The sequence below is a fragment of the Homo sapiens genome, chromosome 13, assembly GCF_000001405.40.
Source record: "Homo sapiens chromosome 13, GRCh38.p14 Primary Assembly".
NCBI classification, from domain to species: domain Eukaryota; kingdom Metazoa; phylum Chordata; class Mammalia; order Primates; family Hominidae; genus Homo; species Homo sapiens.
This window is the reverse complement of record NC_000013.11, coordinates 20,677,266-20,701,512: the sequence shown is the minus strand read 5'-3', so window position 1 is coordinate 20,701,512 and position 24,247 is coordinate 20,677,266. Positions and strand designations below refer to the sequence as shown.

Here is a 24,247-nt window from a genome sequence, read left to right as displayed (position 1 = left end):
TGGGGCAAGCTGTTGGGGAAAATCTTTTAAATCATCCTTAGGCACCGTAACTCCAAAAGCCGGTGTGTGGTTGGCTCCTTCCATACTAATAATCTTGGGTTACTGATGTTCGTATCTACCCAAACCTCTTTCTCTTCCTTAAAGAGCTGTCCTTGAGGCCGGGCATGGTGGCTCACGCCTGTAATCCCAGCACTTTGGGAGGCTTAGGCGGGCGGATAACGAGGTCAGGAGTTCGAGATCAGCCCGCCCAACATGGTGAAACCGGGTCTCTACTAAAAAAAAATACAAAAAGCCGGGTGTGGTAGCGCATGCCTGTAATCCCAGCTACTCAGGAGGCTGAGGCAGAAGAATCGCTTGGACCCGGGAGGTGGAGGTTGCATTGAGCCGAGATTGCACCACTGCACTCCAGCCTGGGCAACAGAGCTAGACTTCGTCTCAAAAAAAAAAAAAAAAAAAAACTGTGCTTGGATGTTCCTACTGATAGCGCTCTCATTGCTGTCACCTTGCTGGTCACTCCCTTGATTCACTGATTTTAGCACCTGGGTCTACCACTATTCCTGCTGATCATTCCTGGCACCTTAACCTCCACAGAGACAATTTAACATGCTGATTTCCAAGTGACTACGTTAGCCCCAATTGTCTTTATTTCCCATCTCATCTCAACTGTCAAGTCATAGGGTCATATCCAAGGTTTCGTCATCACCAATAACTGCAATACAGCCAAACATCTGATTTCAAATATCCTATTCCTTGACATAGGTGCCTTCTGTTTTCGCCCACTCCTGCAGTTTTCTGCCGTCATCCAGCCTTCTCCCACTTCTCACTAACCGTTCCACCCTTGAGTCCTTATGTCCTTTCTTGTCTAGTTTAGATTCACAGTTCGACACTGTCGCCACGCCCTTGCAAACACCCTTAATCCCTTTCTCCTTTTTTCTCTGTTGTAATTGCCTAGAATCCCAACTCTTAAAAATCATACAACTGAGCTGAGTAGACTCAGTTCTGAGTTATGACCACAAATCTCAGATTAACATTCAACATAAGTATCGTATTACACCTCTGCAGTTATGGTCTTCTTCCAGTATCACTAATCTACATATTCTCTTTCCTCAAGTCTCTACTGCCCAATTCGTTCCTCACACCTTCCACAGACCACAGATGAGAGCTTTTACATTTCTTCCAACCAGCAAATGCACTGACTTACTCCCACCCAGTCTGATGTCTCCCACCTTCTTTCCTGATGCATTTGATAAACCCTTTCTTGACCCCAGGTCCCACTTGACTCCCCTTTACAGCAAAGGTTCTGAATTTTTATTTTGTTTTATTTTTGAGGTGAAGTTTAACTCATTGCCCAGGCTGGAGTGCAGTGGTGTGATCTCGGCTCACTGCAACCCCTGCCTCCCGGGTTAAAGCTATTCTCCTGCCTCAGCCTCTCGAGTAACTGGGAATATAGACACGTGCCACCATGCTGGGCTAATTTTTGAATTTTTAGTAGAGACAGGGAGGGTTTCACCATGTTGACTGGGCTGGTCTCAAACTCCTGACCTCAGGCGATCCACCGGCCTTGGCCTCCCAAAGTGCTGGGATTACAGGAGTGAGTCACCACGTCCGGCCTTGATGAGCATTCTTTTTCTATCCTTTCTTTTTCAACCTATCTGTGCCTTTAGACAGTCACATGTCTTTTACCAACAGGGATGCATTCTGAGAAATGTAAGGTGATTTCGTTGCTGTGTGAACACCCTAGGTTGTATTTAAACTGAGTATAGCCTACTATACAACTCGGCTCTGTGGGGTGTAGTTTAGGCTACAACACATCTAGGCTACAAACTTGTACAGCATGTTACTGTACTGCATAATGTAGGCAATTGTAACACAATAGTAAGTATTTGTGTATCTAAATATAGAAAAGGTACAGTAAAAATTTGGTATTATAATCGTATGGGGCCACCATCATATATGTGGTCTGTTTTTGACTGAAATGATGTCATGTGGTGCAGGACTGCATTTAAAATGTGTCTCTTGTAAGTAACATATAGTTGAGTCTTGTTTTTTAATAGTCTGATAATCTTTGTCACTTAACTGGAATATTCTATTTACATTTGCTGTATTTTTAAACATAACTAGCATTTACTAATTATTAATGTAATTGAGTTTGCATTTTTATAATTACTAATGTAACGTAATTACTAATATAAATAGGTTTAAGTCCTGTCTTGTTGCTTGTTTTCTCTTTGTTCATCTGCTCTTTATTCCTTTATTTCTCCTTTACCTGCCTTTCTTTGCATTAATCAAGTATTTTTCATCATTACATTTTGTCCTCCATTAGCTTTTTTATTTTTATTTATTATTTTTAGGCACGGGGTCTTGCTCTGTCACCAAGGCTGGAGTGCAGTGGTGCTATCATAGCCCACTATAACCTGGAGCCCCTGGACTCAAGCCATCATCCTGCCTCAGCTTCTTGAGTAGCTAGGACTACAGGTGTACACCACCACACCCAGCTACATTAGCTTTAAAAAAAACTTTTATTTTGAAATAATTTCAGACTTATAGAAAAGTTGTAAGAAGAATATGAAGGAACTCCACATACCCTTCACTCAGTTCCACTATTTGTTCACATTTCTCCACATTGCTTTTTCACTGTGCTTTCTTCTGGACCACTGAGCCATCGAGTTGCAGAAATCAGGACCCTTTGTCCCACAGCACCTCAGTGTGTATTTCTCAGGAACAAAGACATTCACTTATGTAACCGTAGTGCAATTCTAAAAATTAAGACATTTTACAAATACTTATCTAATGTAGATGGTCTCCAGCTTATGATTGTTCAATTATGATTGTTCGACTTTGTGATAGGCTTATTGGGACATAACCCTATGGTAAGTCGAGGAGCATCTGGATTTAATGATAGTTCAAGCTATGATTTTTCATCTTTATGACTGGTATAACAGAGTAATAAATGTATTTTCAACGTGTGGTGTTTTTTAACAATGGGTTTATCAGGACACAGCCCCATCATAAGTTGAGGAGCATCTGTACATTCCTATTCCCATTTCACCAGCTGTCTCTTTAATGTCCCTTAAAGCAAAATTCCCCCAGTCCAGGATCTCATCAAGGATCATGCATTACATTTTGTTGACATGTCTCTTTAGTCTTCCTTCCTCTCCCCTCCCCTCCCCTTCTCTCCCCTTCCGTCCCCTCCTCTTCCCTCCCCTCCCCCCTTCCTTCCTTCCTTCTTTCTCTCTTTCTCTCTTCTCTCCTTCCTTCCTTCCTTCCTTCCCTCCTTCCGTCCTTCCCTCCCTCCCTCCCTCCTTCCTTCCTTCCTTTTTTGTTTTTTTGACAGAGTCTCACTCTGTTGCCCAGGCTGGAGTGCAGTGGTGCAATCTTGGCTCATTGCAATCTCCACCTCCTGGATTAAACTGATTCTCGTTCTTCAGCCTCCCAAGAAGCTGGCACTACAGGCATGCACCACCAGGCCCAGCTAATTTTTTGTATTTTTAGTAGAGATGGGGGTTCCCGCTATGTTGGCCAGGCTGGTCTTGAACTCCTATCCTCAAGCGATCCAGCCGCCTTGGCCTCCCAAAATCCTGAGATTACAGGTGTGAGTCACTGAACCCAGCCTGCTTTAGTCTTCCTTAATCTGGAACAGTTCCTCAGACATTTTTTTGTCTTTCATGGCCTTGACATTTTTGAAAAGTAGAGGCTAGTTATTTTGTCAAATGTTCTTCAGTTTATGGTATTTCTTCATGATTCGGTTCAGGTTAGTTTTTTTGGCAGGAATATTGGCTACGTAATCTCATATCTTTTCAGTGTCTCACATCAGGGGCATAAGGATTTTATTCATCCCATTATTGGCTGTGTTCACTTTGGTCATGATTAAGGTAGCACCAGGTTTCTCCAGTATAAAATTTTTCTTCCTCTTATAATTAATAAGTAATTCATGGGGGAAAACTTTGGGGCTATGTAAATACGCTATTCTCATCAAACTTTCCTTCACTTGCTTTAGCAATCGGTGATGATTCTTGCTTGGATTAATTTTGTGGTGGTTGCAAAGTGGTGATTTTCATTTTATTTATTTATCTATTAGTTATTATTTATCTATTTATTTTTAGAGATAGTGTCACGCTCTGCCACTCAGACTGGAGTACAGTGGTGCCATCATAGCTCACTGTAGCCTCAAACTCTTGGGCTCAAGTGATCCTCCCACCTCAGCCTCCTAAATAGCTGGGACCATAGGCACTTGCCACTGTGCCTGGCTTATTTTTTAATTTTTTGTAGAGACAGTGTCTTGCTTTGTTGCCCAGGCTGGTCTCAAACTCCTGCCTTCAAGCAATCCTTCTGCCTCGGCCTCTCAATGTGCTGGGATTACAGGCATGAGCCACTGCACCTGGCTGATTTTATCATTCTTTCCATATTCATTAGTTGTACCATTACTCTTTTAATTGTACATTCTGCAAAATACTCCTCATTATGGTCTAGCACTGTCTGAATGATATAAGAAACTTCATTTAATACCCAGTCCCAATCTTTGGACTAGTATTGTCATTATTTTATTTCTATGTATCTTAAAATTCCACAAGGCATTATTATTGTTGTTTTAAATAGTGAATATTCTTTCTTTTATATATCCCCATACCTTTCTGGTGCTTTTCATTATTTTTCAACTTTGTGATCAGTTTCTGTCATTTCATGCTTCTTTCTAGGATCATCTTCCTTTAGCCTGTAGGACTTTTTCTGTGGACCTAGTCTTCTGGTAATTAATTTTCTCAAATTTTATTTGTCTGAAAAATTTTTTTTTTTTTTGAGACGGAGTCTTGCTCTGTCGCCCAGGCTGCAGTGCAGTGGTGCGGTCTCAGCTCACTGCAACCTCCGCCTCCCAGCTTCAAGTGATTCTCCTGCCTCAGTAGTTGGGATTACAGGTGCCTGCCACCACACCTGGCTAATGTTTGTATTTTTTAGTAGAGACGGGGTTTCACCATGTTGGCAAGGCTGGTCTTGAACTCCTGACTTCAGGCGATCCACCCTCCTCGGCCTCCCAAAGTGCTGAGATTACAGGCATGGGCCACTGCGCCCGGCCTGAAAACTCTTTAACTTTAAAGTTTATAGGATATATTCACTGGAATATAAATCTAGGTTGGCAGACTTTTAATTTGTTTTTCAGCACCTTAAGGATACCATTTTATTGTCTTCTGGTTCCTTAGTTTTATTGAAAAGTTAGCCATAAATCTTATTAATGTTCCTCTGAAAGTACTGTGTCCTTGTAATTCTGCTTATCTTAAGGAAGTCGTGGGTTTTAGCAGTTTGAGCACAATGTAACCACAGCGTGGTCTTCTTTGTATCTCCTTGGTGCTCACTGAACTTCCTAAATCTGTGGCTTTATGTCTTTTTCAATTTGGGGAGATTGTAGACATTATCTCTTCTAATGTTAATTCTACCCTATTCTCTCTTCCACTCCTTCCGGGATTCCCATTATAATTATTTAAACTCTTGACTGTGTCCCAAGTGTCTCTTGTCAGCTGCTTTATTTTGCCAGTCTTATTTCTCTTTGCTTTAGTTTGGATATTTTTCTATTGACCTACTCACTAATCCTGACATCTGCTGTGTCTGGTACATTGTTCAATCCATCCAAGTAAGTTCATTTCAGATATTGTGTCTTTCAGTTTTAAGTTATTTGACTCTTTTTCACAGATTCCAACATTCAATTGAAATTTTCCATCTTTTTATCCATTTTATTAACTTAACACACTAGTCACAAAGTCCTTGTTTGTTAAATCCATTATCTGGATTTTCTAGAGGACTGCTTCTATTTATACTTTCTCTTGATTGCTGGTCATATTTTCTTGACTCCTTGCATTCTAGTAATTTTTTTTTTCTTGAGACAGAGTCTCGCTCTGTCGCCCAGGCTGGAGTGCAGTGGCGCGATCTCTGCTCACTGCAAGCTCCACCTCCTGGGTTCACGCCATTCTCCTGCCTCAGCCTCCCGAGTAGCTGGGACTACCGGTGCCTGCCATCACGCCTGGCTAATTTTTTGTATTTTTTAGTAGAGACGGGGTTTCACCATGTTGGTCAGGATGGTCTTGATCTCCTGACCTCGTGATCTGCCCGCCTTGACCTCCCAAAGTCCTGGGATTACACGCATGAGCCACTGCGCCCAGCCACAGTAATTTTATTACATGCCAAGCATTGTATATATAAGAACCGTAGAGACTGCAAATGATATTCTTACCATAGAAAGGTCCTCTTTCCTCTCTTAGGCAGAGAGAATTCAGGACTAATTACTTCAATCCAGTCAAGGATTGAGTTGAGTTGCAGGGTCTCCTTCTGTTGCCCAGGCTGGAGTGCAATCACAGCTCACTGTAACCTTGAAGTCCTGGTCTCGAGTGATCCTCCTGCCTCAGCCTCTCGAATAGTGGGGACTATAGGTGCATGCCACCATGCCCCGGCTAATTTTTTTATTTTTTGTAGAGACAGGGTCTCACTATGTTGCCCAGGCTGGCCTTGAACTCCTGGCCTCAAGCAATCCTCTTGCCTCAACCTCCAGAAGCACTGGGATTACAGGCATGAGCCACCTCACCCAGCCTGGGCTGCAGTTTTTGTATAAGGGTCAGTCCACCGTTGATTCATGTTTGTCCTTCTAGGCTTTTGATTAGGAGCCTAGATTTGTCTCCTCAGCTGAGAAAGATGGAAAAAGAGTCAAGTTGGTCCCTCCAGGTTTTGACTTTAGATTGTTAGCCTCCTGCCCCCATGCAGATTCAAAAAATAGCAAATATCTTTTTTTTTTTTCTTCAAGACGGAGTCTTGCTCTGTTGCTCAGGCTGGAGTGCAGTGGCGCAGTCTTGACTCACTGCAACCCCTGCCTCCTGTGTTAAAGAGATTCTCCTGCCTCAGCCTCCCAAGTAGCTGGAATTACAAACGAGCACTATGCCCAGCTAAATTTTGTATTTTTAGTAGAGACAGGTTTTTGCCATATTGACCAGGCTGGTCTCAAACCCCTGACCTCAAGTGATCCATCCGCCTCATCCCAAAGTGCTGGGATTACAGGTGTGAGCCAGTATGCCCGGCCCCCAAAATAGCAATTATCTTGAGGGTAGACTAAATAGCAAATATCTTGTGGAAAGCCTTTCCCCCTAGCAGGACATCGTCCCCTAAGAACTATGGGAGATTTAAGCCCTTAAAACCTCCATCCCAGTTCCCTAGCCTCCAGCATTACCCCAGCTGAAGCAGCACTCCAGCAAATGCCCCATGGTGGAAAGCCAGCCATACATTTGGGGCTTCTCTAAGTTTCCAGTTTGTCATGCCAACCCCAAATGACCACCTTAAAAGCTCTGTTAGTTTCTCTAGATGACGCCTTTTCCCTGAGGAAAGTGCAGTTCTTAGCCCATGCCTAGAACTGGTGAATGTCTCCAGAAAAACAGGCAGGATCAGCAGTTCATTTAGAAATGGCTCTTTTGGGCTGGGCGCAGTGGCTCACGCCTGTAATCCCAGCACTTTGGGAGGCCGAGGCGGGTAGATCACGAGGTCAGGAGTTCAAGTCCACCCTCTGGCCAAGATGGTGAAACCCCGTCTCTACTAAAAATATAAATATTAGCCAGGCATGGTGGCAGGTACCTGTAATCCCAGCTACTTGGGAGGCTGAGGCAGAGAATTGCTTGAACCCAGAGAATTGGGAGGCAGAGGTTGCAGTGAGCCGAGATCACGCCACTGCACTCCAGCCTGGGCGACAGAGGTTGCAGTGAGCCGAGATTGTGCCACTGCACTCCAGCCTGGGCGACAGAGCAAGACTCTGTCTCAAAAAAAAAAAAAAAAAAAAAAGGCTCTTTCCTCTCTGCAATTTTTAGTTTTATTGATTCCACAGATCTCCAGAGACTTTGAAGACATGATTTTTGCAATGATTTGTTTTTTTTTCCCAGCTGCTACGGAGGGCTTCCATGACCTACTGCATCCTTCTCAGAACTGGAAGTTTGAATCCTGAAACCTCCTACATCACTTGTTGCTCTTCTCAGTCTCTTCTGCTGAGCCATCCTTTTTCTCTGGTACTCACAAGCACATTGCTTATACTTCTTCTCTAGCCTCACTCTCAGACCTAATTGATCTCATTCAGTTTCATGGTTTTAAGTACGAAGTGTACATAGATGGATCCCACATCTCTACCTGTAGCCCTCACTTCTGTGACCTCCAGATTTTAAAGATTAACTGCATTCTTCGCATCTCAAATTGAATGCTTGAGACAAATTTAACATGGGTAAAACACATCTACTTATTCCCCCCCAAATCTATCTTACTAAAAAGACAACACTAGCCACTCCGTTCCTTAGCCACAAATTTTGGCATCATCTTTTCCTCTCTTTCCCTCACAATCCACATCCAATCCATTAGTAAGTCTCAGCTCTGCCTCCAAATATATGCTGAATCTGACCACTTCTCACAATTTTCTATTGCTAAAAACCTGTCTCAATTGCTTTCATCTCTTACCCAGGCTACTGCTAGTAGTTTCCACTCTTCCCTTCCATCCCACTTGCCCACTTCATCTTCATGGCGACCAGTGTGATGACTGGTTTCTAAAGGTTAAATGAAAGCACTTCACTCACCCCCCTTGCATGAAACCTTCTAGCAGGTGTTCTATAGTAACTAGAATAAGATCCAAACTGTCTTTATAAGGCTGTACATGCTCTGAACCCTGCCTACCTTTTGGATCTCATCTCCTTTCCCTTTCCTGCCCATGTAGCACACCACCCACACTGCTGGATCCCAAACCCTCTCACTATCACTGTAGCTCAATAACCCTGTGACACATCCAGATCATTCATTTTTCAGTGTGCGGCACTTGCTGCTCCTTCTGCTCAGAACACTGCTTTCTTCTCACCATTCTAGTGTTATTACCAAGGCCACCTCTTAGAGTCCCTCCTCTATAATCACTACCTATTGCATTACTCCATTTTGTTCTCTTAACTGTAATTAACAATATCTAGAGTCCTTTAAAAACATATTTTCTGGCCAGGCACGCTGGCTCATGCCTGTAATCCCAGCTCTGGGAGGCCAAGGTGGGTGGATCATGAGGTCAAGAATTCGAGACCAGCCTGGCCAACATGGTGAAACCCCGTCTGACTAAAAATACAAAAATTAGCCAGGTGTGGTGGTGCGTGCCTGTAATCCCAGCAACTCAGGAGGCTGAGGCAGGAGCATTGCTTGAAACCAGGAGGTGGACGTTACAGTGAGCCAACATTGCACCACTGCACTCCAGCCTGGGCGACAGAGTGAGATTCCATCTCAAAAAAAACCCAAACAAACAAACAAAATATATTTTCCATCTCCCCACCAGAATTTAAGCTTCTTGAGGGCAAGGTATAGTTCTTTTTCACTACTGTATCCCCCAAATTTTAATGAATTCTCTGCACATACTGGATGTTTACTGTATTTGTTGGCTGTCTCATCAATTAGAGCATAACCTACTTTGGGAGCAAGGAATGTGGTCTAGTTTTGGTTTTCCTCCCTCGCATCTAACAGTAGCATGCACGTTGCAGAGACAATGGTAAGTAAGATTGAGGGGTCCATTCTCTTTGGTATAGTGTTAGAGATAAGCCACTGCTTCTGACATCCTCGTCATTATAATTCCTCTGGAGACTCTAGACCAGCCAAACACATTGTTAAAGAAAAATGCAGGCAGTCCTGCCCCCAACCCACTAAGTCACAAATGGGAAAAGCCATCTTAGAGTTGTTACTGCTCTGTGCTATTGGTGCACACCCCCGGGCTGAAGTAGAAAGGAACTTCGGAAAGGAGCACTAGGGTTATGGTTTGGTATTTAATCCCATTACCCTTTATACTGCTTCCAAAACATAATTGTTTTAATAGTGTTTCTAATCCCCACAAGGCAAATCTTCCAAAGAATTTCCAAACTCCAAGCAATTTAAGTATGAATAGAAATTGTGCCTATGTCCACACAGCATTTTTCAATCTGCAAGCCATGAAATCAATGTAGTGGCTTCACTACTAGCACTTTGTTTGAATGAAACTATAGAAAATATTAGCATGTATTGCAATAATAAGGGTAAATTTTTATGACTACATACACATATATGTACTAGGTTGTGTTATGAAATTTATTTCTTCCTGTGTGTCAATGTTTTCAAAAAGCTAAGGAAGTCACTGGCCTAAAGTATTAGTTTTACCTGTTTTTATTCCTTAAAAGAAAAAAACAACTTAAATGCATACATACAGAATAGAATACACTTACTTAAGTTTTGACAGTGAAAAAAAATAATTACAGGTTAGATATTTAATCCAAGGTTTAACATGAGGATGATCTCATAAGGCAATTTCTTTCCTTTAATAAATATTAAAGTGAATATTATTCTGGAAGCAAATCATCTCCTAATTCTTCATCAGCAAAATCATCCTCATCGATCCTTTTCTTGGCTGCAGTTTTTGGTCGTTCTATTTGAGGGCCAAGTGGGTCCACATAGGAGGCATCTAGGTTTCGAAGAGATTGTCACGTTAGAGTTATGTAAACAAACAAAACAAATGTGAAACCAATCAGGCTCATAGTCAAAATGAATAACTCAGAGTGAACAGAAATGGTCTCCCAAGTCATTTTAAATTTTATCTGTAAATATCAAATTCTTAAGAATTCCCAGCAACACCTTTTGGCCATCTCACCATTCTTCTTCAGACCTGCTATGCCTGGAGGAACTGGGTGGAGAGTACTTGCCTATTTCTTTGTTACTGCTACTTTCATAAGGTTCATTTGTCCCAGGTAAAGCTCTGAGTCTGGCACTTAGTCGTTCACCTTTACTACTGGCACTATAGTTCTGGCCACTATCTGAAAACACGAAAATAAAAATGCATTTGTTTAATATGTTGAGAAAACATAAAACTACATTATGCATCTTAAAGCATACTTATTTGCCAAGAAACAAGCAGGTTGTTTAATTTGGAAGCCAGCTTCTTAGGGATATAATTCTTGTTTTCTGAAATTTAAAAGAAATATCTTGTGGGAATCTATAATATAGATAAAACATCACTTAAGAGTAGTCTGTATATGTATTCTTTCAAATGTGTGCTTACTTATAGGTTTCAATTTTATGGAAGAACTTAAGAGAAAGTAAGAGATCACCCTGACTCTTATAATTGCCCAAATAGGCAATGGCTGCCTTAGGAAAAAATGTAATATGTATCACTGAGGATTTTCAGATAAAACTGAACACTAACATTAGTAGGAAATGTTAGTAGTACTTTTTAACCAGAAATTTCTGTGATATTTTCTAAAAGTACTCCTCTAGCCCCACAGTTTTCCTTTCTTCCCCTTAGAATTCCTAGAGTGATATTTTTTCTATTATGTAAGCCTCACTTTTAATGAGAGTAGTCCACTGATAAACACACTGACCATTTCGTTTTTGAATATAGTTTGTCTTTTAGTTTACTGATAATGTCTCTGGGAATAAATCAGAACAAGATGGTCTTTAAAATCCCCACATTTTAAGATTGGCCAACTGACCCAAAATAGTAAGTCTTCTCTAAGGTTCTTATCCAAAACCTTACCATTTCCCCTACCACTGATGTTACGGGAAAATAAAGCTCTTTAGTGTACTGAATATGTCTACACACTTTAGTATATTTTACATTATTTTGTCCCTCTCTTTTTGTTAAAACAAAAGTTAATTTTTTCCATGCAGAAATGTATACGGGTGTCTTTTAAACTGCCTGAGTGAGCTCAAGTCAATAAAGTTTGAAAAACATTGCTCTAGGGATATTTCTTTTACTTTTTTTTTTCTGAATAATGTATATCCTACCTGTCTCCAAAAAGGTTTAAGATAAGCCACCAAATATATACACAATAACTATATAGCAATCTTTTAAAAGATGAATGAGTATGTGAGAAGAAAAGTTTGGGTGAGAAACATAAAACAAAGTTGGCAGGGAGTGGTCCAAACAGGCCTTCTTGCCTTAGGGTTTGCAGTCAACGAAGGGCAAGGGCATACACAGTTCTTTGACTCATGGGTACATAAGATATGACAACCAATGTCTCCACAAAAATGTAGGTGTTCTCATTACAGAGATAAGATGGAAATGCCTCACAGAACTGCTCACTGAGGAATACTGTGGAATGTCAGAAACACATCCTCATTAGTAAATACGACAACGTTATTTCACTTTTTACACAGATGTAAATTACCAACAAAACCCTGATAGCTCCCTCAGGCACCCAAAACCCTTCTGAAATCCAAATCCAAATTCCTAGCCTGAAAGATTCAAATTTTGTGGAAAAAGCAAACCTTTAAAAAATAAAACCTGGGGCCGGGCACGGTGACTCACGCCTGTAATCCCAGCACTTTGGGAGGCCAAGGCAGGCAGATCACGAGGTCAGGAGCTCGGGGCCAGACTGAGCAACATGGTGAAACCCCGTCTCTACTAAAAATACAAAAATTAGCCGGGCGTGGTGGTGCACACCTGTAATCCCAGCTACTCAGGAGGCTGAGGCAGAAGAATTGCTTGAGCCTGGGAGGCAGAGGCTACAGTGAGCCAGATCGTGCCACTGCATTCCAGCCTGGGCTACAGGGTGAGATTCTGTCTCAATAAATAAATAAATTAATTAATTAAATAAAAATAAAGTGCTTATATAAAAAATAAAACTTGGCTGGGCAGAGTGGCATGCACCTATTATCCCAGCTGCTTGTGGGGATGAGATGGGAGGATCACTTGAGCCCTGAAGTCCAATGCTGCAATGAGCTATGACAGCACCACTGCACTCAGCCTGGGTGATACAGCAAGACCCCATCTCTAATATAAATAAATAATAATTACAATATTTGTAGTCTTTGAAGATTGGACTCTATAGTTTCTGTTGTTGCTTACTCTTAGTGACTTATTTCCTCATGCATGCATACTTTTTCTTAACTGTAGGTTCTTATTCTTTGGAACTTAAAAGTGCATTCCTCCAAGGAGGATTTAAGTTTATTTCTTGTAGGCACCTTGTAGCCTCACCAACTGAAGTCCACTTTAAATCAAATTTTCAGCTTGGTGTTCTTCAGAACACACAGATATAATATGTATTCTAGCTCCAAAACTATGTGAGTGAAGGCTTACTTATGGTTAGGAATTATCAAAAGAGCTCTTCTTGTTTTCTACATTAGAACCAAGGTGAAAATCCATCATCTGTAGGGTGGCCTCTTTTCTTTTGAGATGGAGTTTCGCTCTTGTTGCCCAAGCTGGAGTGCGATGGTGTGATCTTGTCTCACTGCAACCTCCACCTCCCGGGTTCAATCGATTCTTCTGCCTCAGCCTCTCGAGTAGCTGGGATTACAGGCATGCGCTACCACGCCCGGCTAATTTTTTTGTTGTTGTTGTATTTTTAGTAGAGACGGGGTTTCACCTTGTTTGCCAGGCTGGTCTCAAACTCCTGACCTCAGGTGATGCGCCTGCCTCGGCCTCCCAAAGTGCTGGGATTACAGGCTTCAGCCACCGTGCCCGGCCAGAGTGGCCTCTTTCCGACTTGGCCTACTCAGAGTATTGCCAGTGAGAAGTCCTAGCTTTGTGACAGGGATTCTTTGATCCGACCTCTGCTCTGGCCTTTTTGAGGCCCCAGGCCTTATCTCTTGGTCCCCATGAGTGTCTATAATCTGAGGTTCTCAATCATGAGGGATTAGCTAGGCAATGCCAGCTCCTGCACATTGGATTTAAACTTTCTAGATCTTTTTGGCCTCCAAAGAATTTCCTTCTTTGCTACCAACTCAGCCGTGCATTTTTGAAGTTTTTTTCATTTTATTTTTTCCTCCCCCTTCTTCTTTTCTTTTTTTTCTTTTTTTAACACGCAACATATCATTTTTAGGAGAGCTATACTTGGAGTTTTCCTGAATATTTAGACTATCTTACCGTCAGACATAGATATTTGTAATAATTTTATAGCCAGTAGAAATATACAAAAATGTCATTTAAAAGGCTAAGTCTAACCCCTTTATTTTTCAGATGAGAAAACAGGCTTAGGATAGTGAAGTGAAGTGACTTGTTCAAGAGTGCATAGTTGGTGACAAGATCAGCACCAAAACCCAGCCTTCCTGACTGCCAGCCTGGTCCTTGCCTGTTAGACAAATAGTGCCTCTTTAGCAAAGGATCTGTGTGTAAAGTGTGGCACCTGGGCCTTATTCATATTCAGATTCCAAGCATATGCTATTCCAAGCTCAGCAGTTTGGCTCGCCCCACAAAATGTGGCTGTCTTAATAATGACAGTTAAGCATTTAAAGGAAACTCACAATCTCTAATCTCTTTTCACTACCCTGTATTTTAGACCCTTCTGCTGGCCCCAGAACAACCTGACCCCCTCCTTGCCTTATTAAGCAAGTCTGCAAAAAAAATCTTAACACATTTCTAGTTGGTGGCCGACTACATCCCGACTTGACCAATGTTTTTACAAGGCAATGCATACTAAGAAGATGACCTATTTGTAACATTTTAGAGTGACGTAGTTTTTAAATATGAGGTTTTTTTTTTTTTTTTTTTTTTTTTTTGGTAAGAAAGTGACTTTTAAGCTGGGTGTGGTGGCCTGAGCCTGTAATCTCAGCTACTCAGGAAGCTGAGGCAGGAGGAGAATTTGAGGCCAGGAGTTCAAGAAAGTGAGTCTTATAAAAGGCTCTATTCACAGAATAAATTAAGTAAGGTTAAGGGGCTAACTACATAAACTTTGGTGAAAATTTCTCTCCAAATAAAAATGAATTGTTTCCAAGGAAAGACAGTCTTTACTAATTTAGAAAGAATATGGTTATGAGCATAAAAATAATTTATAGCAGTAATAAACTTAAGATAGAAAAAATAACTGTACAGGGAAGATGAAAAGCAATGTCCTTCATTTTTGCTAATTTTCTAAACAGGTTGCGGCAGAGATTTTTATCATATTTAAATACAATGATTTTGTGAAACTGAGTACATAATACATTTATATAAGTAATGAAAATAAGAAAAAATGTATCAATTTCTTTATCTTTAACACCACCGATGCTATTTTAAATTCTGATGAGTGTTAACTGTGCTCCTGCTCAGTACCTTATGCTGTTCACACCCAGCAGAGGCAAAAGGAGATGCAGCCACTGCCTTCAGGAACTTTACAATCTGTGGGTGACTTTTACCTTAAGCATTCACTATAAATAATTTCCATGATGTCATACCTATAACACATTTTAAAGATCCAATAAAAGTACTTGCCTTTCCTGCATTTTTATTTTACTGATTTCTGTATGAACATTATTTTGCTTAGAGAAAAGTAAAAAGGAAACTACATTGTGTGATGATTATTATTCACTGCACTCCAGCTGCAAATAAGATTGTCTCTAGAAGTTATATCATCTCTCAAAGCTGTTAAGTGATCCAAGTCTATGGAGCTCCCAATGGCAACAGCATCCCCCTTAAAGATCAGCCAAGGAAGCTCGATGTGGGATCTCACCACAGTGGGGAAGAAGGGGCCTGTAATAACTGCTCCAGGGTGACACAACTGTGAAGAACATAATTCAACTTGGAATTATTTCCAGTTGAACATTTGGTTTATTCCCAATGTTTCTACCATAAATAATGTGATCAATATGTGTGTACAAAATTATTTCTTTAAAGTAAGTTCCTATCAAAGGTTATGGGCATTTTAATTAATTTATTTATTTTTTGAGATGGAGTCTTGTTTTGTCTCCCAGGCTAGAGCGCAGTGGCGCAATCTCGGCTCACTGCAACCTCTGCCTCCCGGGTTCAAACAATTCTCCTGCTTCAGTCTCCTGAGTAGCTGGAACTACAAGTGTGTGCCACCATGCCCGGTTAATTTCTGTATTTTTAGTAGAGTCAGGGTCTCACCATGTTGGCTAGGCTGGTCTCGAACTCTTGACCTTAAGTGATCCAAGTGATCTGCCTGCCTTGGCCTCCCAAAGTGCTGGGATTACAGGCGTGAGCCACCATGCCCGGCTGGGTACGGGCATTTTAAAGGGCTTGATGAATATTTCCAAACATTCCCAGCAGGGTGTGCCACTTAGAACTCCCCCCAGCAGAATTTAGTTAATAAACAGTGCTCATCTCATCTCATCCTTGCTACCCTTGGGAATTACCTTTTAAAAAATTCATTGCTAATTTTATAGGTTAGTTTGTGCTGGTAGCAAGCCCTAAGCCTGTCATAAACAGGCCTTAAAGAAACTGGCCATAAAAAGGATTTCTGCAGCAATGTGGCATGCTCGTGATGGCTATCACACACACTGCTAGAAGTCGTTGGTTTACTGGAGCAGGGCAAGGAAAACCTGGCCCCCCCACCCCCGGGAGCGGAAAACTGCTCTAGCCATAAACAATAGCAGGAGCAGCCTGTGTCTTAACAACGTGTTTTTGCTGCAGATAATCAGCCAGGGCCTGTTTCTCTGCTCCTCGCTAAAATTGCTTTGTTTCCCATAAGGAATGCTTCTAGCTAATCTATAATCTATAGAAGCAATGCTTAGCACTGGCTTACTGTCAATAATATGTGGGTCAGATTCCGTTTGTGGCTCTCAGCTCTGACGGCTGTCAGCCCCCTGATCCCACTCTGCACTCTATTTCTGTGTCTGTGTCTTTAATTCCTCTAGTGCTGCTGGGTTAGGGTCTCCACGACCGAGCTGGTCTCGGCAAGCGGTGCCCAACATGGGGGCTTGAACCCGGGTCGAAGGGTCGCCCCGAAGCGACAGTTGGAGAACGTGGAACTACGCTGGGGAACACCCGAGTACTCTTAAGCAATCCCTGTGGTGAGTAAGAAGGGGAGCTCGGAAGCATCAGGGTAACAATGGGACAAGGGTCGAGCAGGCACGAGGCTTGAGTCTGCTTCGGCATCTCCTCAGAAAAGGAGTGAAGGTTAGCACCAGCTGACTTATGCAACTTTTTAGTGTGGTAGAGAAATACTGCCCCTGGTTTCAGGACCGAGGAACTATGAATGTAGAGGTCTGGGAAAAGGTAGGCAGCACACTGAAAAAGGCATACAACGATGGTGCTGAGGATATTCCTGTAACTCTCTGGTCAGTGTGGATTGTGGTTTGTTCCACCTTGGAGCCTTTCTATATAGATGACAAGGAGGAGGAATCAGAGGAAGAAGGAGAGTGTAACGAAGTAACTAACAGAAGAGATGACAGAGCAGGTTTGCTTGCCAGCTAAAGAGACAAAGGAGGGAGAGGTTTGTCCCTACCCCTCTATACCCCCTCATTATTTTGAAGAAAAAGAGTGGCCTGACTCTCCAAATCTCTCTTTTCCAGAGGACACTGGGCAAAAAGTAGCTGCCCCAGTGACTGTTCCAGCAGTGCCTCGAGCGACCGCTCTCAGTTCCATTTAGGCAGGAATCCAGCAAGCTAGATGAGAAGGTGATATGGATGCTTGGCAGTTCTCTGTTAGAATATACTCACCTGATCAACAGGGGAATATTATGGCTACATTTGAGCCTTTTCCTTTTAAATTCCTCAAAGAATTTAAACCAGCTATTAATCAATATGGACCAGGTTCTCCTTTTGTAATGAGACTGTTAAAGAATGTTGCTGTCTCCAGTCAGATGATGCCAGTGGGGACGGTAGGATTACTTCTAGGTAGGTCTAGTTTAAATTTAAAAGGAGTGCAAGTACATACAGGAGTCACTGATTCAGATTACAATGGGGAAATTCAAATTGTTATATCTACTTCTGTTCCCTGGAAAGCAGAGCCAGGAGAGCGTATAGCACAGCTCCTGACTGTGCTGTATGTGGGAATGGGAAAAAGTGAAATTAATCAAACAGGAGGATTTGGAAGCACAAATAAACAAGGCAAAGCAGCTTATTGGGTGAATCAAATTACTGATAAATGTCCTACCTGTGAAATAACCATTCAAGGAAAAAAATGAATGAAAGGATTGGTAGATACAGGAGCGGACATTTCCATCATTTCTCTACAGCACTGGCCATCCGCATGGCCAATTCAACCCACTCAATTTAACAGAGTTGGAGTTGGTAAAACCCCTGAAGTATATCAAAGCAGTTATATTTTGCATTGTGAAGGACTCGATGGACAACCTGGGACTATCCAGTCAATTATAACTTCTGTACCTATAAATTTATAGGGGAGAGATTTATTACAGCAATGGGGAGCACAAGTTCTAATTCCTGAGCAACTATATAGCCCTCAAAGTCAGCATATGATACAAGAGATGGGGTACGTGCCTGGCATGGGATTAGGAAAAAATTTACAAGGGTTAAAGAAACTGCTTCAAGCGGAAGGACAGAATTCTCATCAGGGTTTAGATCATTTTTGATGGCGGTCATTGTTAAGCCTCCAGAACCTATACCTTTAAAATGGTTAACAGGTAAGCCAATTTGGATAGAGCAGTGGCCGCTGAGTAAAGAGAAACTGGAGGCTTTAGAGGACTTAGTTACTGAACAATTAGAAAAAGGACACATAGCTCCAACATTTTCTCCCTGGAATTCTCCAGTCTTTGTTATTAAGAAAAAATCAGGTAAATGGAGAATGTTGACAGATCTTAGAGCCATTAATTCAGTTATACAACTTATGAGGGCACTGCAGCCAGGATTGCCTTCTCCTACTATGATTCCTAAAAATTGGCCTTTAATAGTCATAGATTTAAAAAACTGTTTCTTTACTATCCCCTTAGCTGAGCAAGACTGTGAACGGTTTGCATTTACAATTCCTGTGGTAAACAACCTGCAGCCTGCTAAGCGTTTTCACTGGGAAGTGCTCCCACAAGGCATGTTAAGCAGTCCAACAATTTGTCACTTATATAGGACAAGCAATTGAACCTACTTGTAAAAAATTTTCACAGTGTTACATTATTCATTATATAGATGATATTCTTTGTGCTGCCCCGACTTGGGAAATATTACTCCAATGTTATGATCACTTACAAAACTCGATTTCTCGAGCCGGTTTAATTATAGGTCCTGACAAAATTCAGACTGCTCCTCCTCACTCCTACTTGGGGACCTTAGTAAATGTCACTACAGTAGTGCCACAGAAAGTAACCATAAGTAGGGATCAATTGAAAACACTGAATGACTTTCAAAAATTACCAGGGGACATTAATTGGATACAACCTGCTCTAGGCATTCCTACCTATGCCATGAGTAATCTATTTTCTATCCTTAGAGGAGATCCTAGTCTCACTAGCCCTTGTCAATTAACAAAGGAAGCTGAGGCAGATTTACAGCTGATTGAGAAGCAAGTGCATACAACTCAAATAAATAGAATAGATCCAACAAAGACTTTAGACTTGCTGATTTTTCCGACACAGCATTCACCTACTGGTGTTATTGTCCAAGAGCAGGACTTGGTAGAATGGCTTTTTCTTCCACATGCTAATTCACAGACTCTAATTCCTTATTTGGATCAAATTGCTACTCTGGTAGGAAATGGGAGAACCCAAACTGTTAAATTGCATGCATATGACCCTGGAAAAATTATTGTCCCTCTTACAAAAACACTAACACAACAGGACTTTATAAATAGTCTTGGCAAACCCATTTAGCTGATTTCGTAGGTGTTCTTGATAATCACTTTCCGAAAACAAAATTATTTCAACTTTTAAAATTAACTAATTGGATTCTCCCTGGAATAACTAAATCTAAACCAGCTGTAGGTGCTGAAAATGTTTTTACAGATGGGTCTAGTAATGGTAAAGCTTCTTATTCAAAACGTAAAGTTTTCCAGACGCCCTATACTTCAGCTCAAAAAGCGGAGCTTGTAGCTGTAATTGAGGTGCTGACTGCTTTTGAGATGCCTGCCAATGTAATTTCTGATTCTTCATATGTGGTTCATTCCACACAGTTAGTTGAAAATGCTCAGCTACAATTCCACACAGATGAACAACTGATGACTTTATTTACCCAATTACAAACCACAGTTAGGAACAGAATGCACTCTTTTTACATTACTCATATTGGAGCTCATACAACTCTTCCAGGACTTTTGACTCCAAGGAATCAAATGGCTGATTGCCTAGCTGCTACTGAAATATCTAACGCTAGACACTTTCACAATTTAACCCATGTTAATGCCTCTGGTCTCAAACGCAGATACAGCATTACCTGGAAAGAAGCTAAAGCTATTATCCAGCGATGCCCAACTTGTCAAATGGTGCATTCCTCATCTTTTACAGGAGAAGTTAATCCTCGAGGATCGGAACCTAATTCTCTTTGGCAAATGGGTGCCACCCATGTTCCCTCGTTTAGGAGACTAGCTTATGTGCATGTATGTGTAGATACATTTTTCTCACTTTGTTTGGGCTACCTGTCAAACAGGAGAATCTTCTGCCTGTATTAAACGGCATCTTCTGCAACGCTTCACGGTCATGTGCATTCCAGCTTCTGTTAAAACGGACAATGTCCCAGGCTATACTAGCCAAGCTCTAGCTACATTTTTCTCTATATGGAATATTAAACACATTACTGGCATCCCATATAATTCACAAGGACAAGCCATTGTGGAACGAATGAATCTCTCCCTAAAATGACAATTGCAAAAGCAGAAGGGGGAAACAGGGACAGTGATTATAGGACTCCACACATGCAACTGAATCTAGCATTACTGACTTTAAATTTTTTGAGCCTATCTAAAGGCCAGATGCTATCAGCAGCTGAACGGCATCTACCAAAACCAGCTGCAAAGATAGAAGCGGAACAACTGGTTTGGTGGAGAGATTCGATAACAACGAGTTGGGAAATAGGTAAAATAATAACATGGGGTAGAGGTTATGCTTGTGTTCTCCAGGCCAAAACCAGCAGCTGATTTGGATACCATCAAGATACCTGAAAACTTATCATCAGCCAGATGCCAAGGAAGAGATTTTGGGAGGAACCCGAGGACCCCCCGGTTGCAGCCATGTTGAGACTGACAATAAGGAAGACACAAGTGCTGGCGAGCAACACTGGTCGGGCACAGCCACCCCCCTGGGGCCAGATCAAGAAGTTGACACAGATGGCGGAAGAAAATCTGAAGAAGGCAGGACAACCAGTTACAATGAGTAATCTAATGGTAGCTATGATGGCTGTGCTCACCATCGCCATGAGTATTCCCCCAGTGACTGCTGAAACAAAAGACAATTATACTTATTGGGCATATATTCCTTTTCCACCACTTCTACAGCCAGAAACATGGTTAGACCCCCCAGTGGAGGTATACACTAACGAAAGTTTTTAGATGCCTAGTTCTATAGATGATAGAGGCCCGTCTAAGCCCTAAGAGGAAGGAACTATTATGAATATCTTGTTGGGATTTGAGGATTTACCTATTTGTTTGGGAAAAGCCAATAGGTGTTTAGCTCCCAGTCATCAATCCTGGCTGGCGATAGTGCCTGAATGTAACATCTCCATGACACAATTACATATGCTTTCTGGTCTTAGTATTTATCACAATTATTATGCTCCTGTAACCGAAGTTTACCACCCTCAAAAACCTATCTGTAAACTGGATTGGACATGGTCAGCAAAAATGAAGGTATTTGCTTGGGAAGATTGTGTCGCAAGGCAGGCAGAGGTGTTGTGTAATGATTCATATGGAGTCATTATTGATTGGTCCCCTAAAGGGGCATTTATGAGGCTCACCTCTCAATCTGTAGCTAATGGTCACCCTGCATATAAACAAAATAATCAGATGGTGGACACTATAAGAAGTACAGCAAGAGTTCCTATTATTTGGGCATATGGTGGTATAGTGGTACCTCAACCCCAAATGATATGACCTGATGTAAGAGCTAAACATAAGGAGTTATGGAAAATATTAATGGCACTGAAAAAGATAAAGATTTGGGAAGGAAAATATACTAAGCCAACCCAATATAATCCTAATTACATGTTAGAATTGGCTCACAACAGTTCAGTCTGGATACATAGTTGTGTCTGTCCGCCTTTCCTGTTTGTAGTGGGTGATTTAAAACTTGATCTCCCTAATCATCATATGACTTGTCAAGAATATAGATTGTTTTCTTGTGTGAATTCTTCCTTGTATAATACTGATCATTCTATTTTAGTAGTAAGAGCCCGAGAAGGCGTATGGATACCTGTAAAGCTTTCCCATCCTTGGGAAGCCTCTCCTTCTGCGCATATTATTACTGAAATTCTTCGATAGATTTTGAGGCACTCTCGGCGTTTAATTGCCACTTTAATTTTAATCATTACGGGATTGACTGCTGTCACAGCTACTGCCGTGGTAGCTGGAGTTGCTCTGCATTCCACAGTACAAACAGCAGACTATGTAAATAATTGGCAGAAAAATTCTACTCTGCTGTGGAATTCCCAAACTAATATAGACCAGAAACTAGCTAATCAAATCAATGATCTCCGACAAACTGTAATGTGGCTAGGAGATTGAGTAGTTAGTCTAAAATACAGAATGCAGTTACAATGTGATTGGAATACTTCTGATTTTTGCATTACTCCTCATCTGTATAATGAAACAGAGCACGAGTGGGAAAGAGTTAGGAGACATTTAAAGGGTCATACTGGAAATTTATCTTTAGATATTGTAAAACTGAAGAAACAAGTATTTCAAGCCTCTCAGGCACATCTGACGCTAATGCCAGGAACTGAAGTGCTTGAAGGAGCTGCAGATGGATTAGCAGCTATTAACCCATTAAAGTGGATCAAGACACTTGGAGGCTCTGTGATTTCAATGATGATTGTGCTTTTAATCTGTGTTGTCTGTCTTTGTGTAGTCTGCCGATGCAGATCCCAAATCTTGCGAGAAGTAGCCCACCGTGACAAAGCTGCCTTTGTCTTTATCGCTTTGCAAAAACGAAAAGGGAGACATGCTGGTAGCAAGCCCTAAGCCTGTCATAAACAGGCCTTAAAGAAACTGGTCATAAACAGGATTTCTGCAGCAATGTGACATGCTCGTGATGGCTATCACACACACTGCTAGAAGTTGTTGGTTCACACTGCTAGAAGTTGTTGGTTTACTGGAGCAGGGCAAGGAAAACCTGGCCCCTCCGGAGCGGAAAACTGCTCAAGCCACAAACAATAGCACGAGCAGCCTGTGCCTTAACAACATGCTTTTGCTGCAGATAATCAGCCAGGGCCTGTTTCTCTGCTCCTTGCTAAAAATGCTTTGTTTCCTATAAGGAATGCTTCTAGCTAATCTATAATCTATAGAAGCAATGCTTAGCACTGGCTTACTGTCAATAATATGTGGGTCAGACTCTGTTCATGGCTCTCAGCTCTGACGGCTGTCAGCCCCCTGGTCCCACTCTGCACCCTATTTCTGTGTCTGTGTCTTTAATTCCTCTAGCACTGCTGGGTTAGGGTCTCCATAACTGAGCTGGTCTTGGCAAGTATGCATTGTTTTAGTTATTGGTGAGGCTGTATATTTCACCACCATGTGTGAGAGAATAGTTTATATCCTCTTCTCTACCTCCCTGCAACTCATTCACTTCTTAAATCATTAGAATCTGACTTTTACCTCTAACAGTACACTGAGACTGCTTTCTTTAAGGCTATCAAAACTATCTTAGTTGAAAAATCTAATGGCCCTCTGTAGTCTTCAAGGCCCAATTATAATACGTATATAATCATTTTTCAACATTCCCCTTCCCTTAAGCTAGGAAGTCTATCAACTGCCCCTATTAGTTTCTTATTTTTTGAAAGTACTATCTAAAATGAAACTTTCTAAAAAATTCTGCCCATTCCTTTGAATGTGTTATGAATATAGTGGTTCTTACTTTTTCAAATCTCTTCTTAAATAACTCTCTTTTGGTGAGCTATAAATTGATTTCATTATCCATTAGACACTTTGTAAAAGCTTTTTGGTCTGTCTCTCTCTTCTATTTTTAAGAAGATGATATTCAATTTAGCCTCTATTAAGATGCAATAATTAAGATCTATTCTCACTCCTTAAGTATGAGGAAGTATTTGTTTATATCTAGAAACACTGAAGAGCATCAGACAATAACTTTGGGACCTTTAGGAGGCCTTTACTGACCAATTTACTTCTAGGTGCTCTGTAATCTGACTTGCAAATGGCCTATCCTCTTATTACCAGGAAGCTGATCTTCCTTTGCTCCTGTCCCTTTCCAAAGTTAAGAGGCAGCGCACCACAGCTAGGGATCCAAAGTACTTTCCCAACCAACAGTCCAAGAAAGTAATGACCTTATCAGCTCAGATGACATAATACTCTGATAATTTTACAAGGACCATTGCTTGGACCTAGCCTTACTCTGAGAATTTCAGCTCATTCTTACATTGTTACAGCTGCAATTCTCAGTTTGATTTCAACCCTCACCCCCTACTTCTATTGATCCCATTACATTATTAC

At 41.4% G+C, this 24,247-nt stretch overlaps 1 protein-coding gene across 50 annotated transcripts in view; it reads right to left on the bottom strand.

The window, feature by feature from the left end:
• Positions 1–10,068: 10,068 nt before the first annotated feature.
• Positions 10,069–24,247, bottom strand: part of IFT88 (intraflagellar transport 88) — a 124,288-nt gene continuing 110,109 nt past the window's right edge. For 36 of the 50 annotated variants that reach the window (NR_134653.2, NR_148462.2, NR_148463.2 and 33 more), the window contains 2 exons: positions 10,698–10,808; positions 10,069–10,459 (listed from right to left, as the gene is read on the bottom strand). Coding sequence is in view for 41 of the 50 variants with exons in the window: in XM_047430655.1 (XP_047286611.1) it covers positions 10,338–10,459; positions 10,698–10,808 (233 nt within the window). In the remaining 9 variants the exon portion in view is untranslated. Of the gene's footprint in view, positions 10,460–10,697; positions 10,809–24,247 lie in introns of those variants that run through there. The other 14 variants (NR_148465.2, XM_017020763.2, XM_017020762.2 and 11 more) reach the window with 2 other exon arrangements.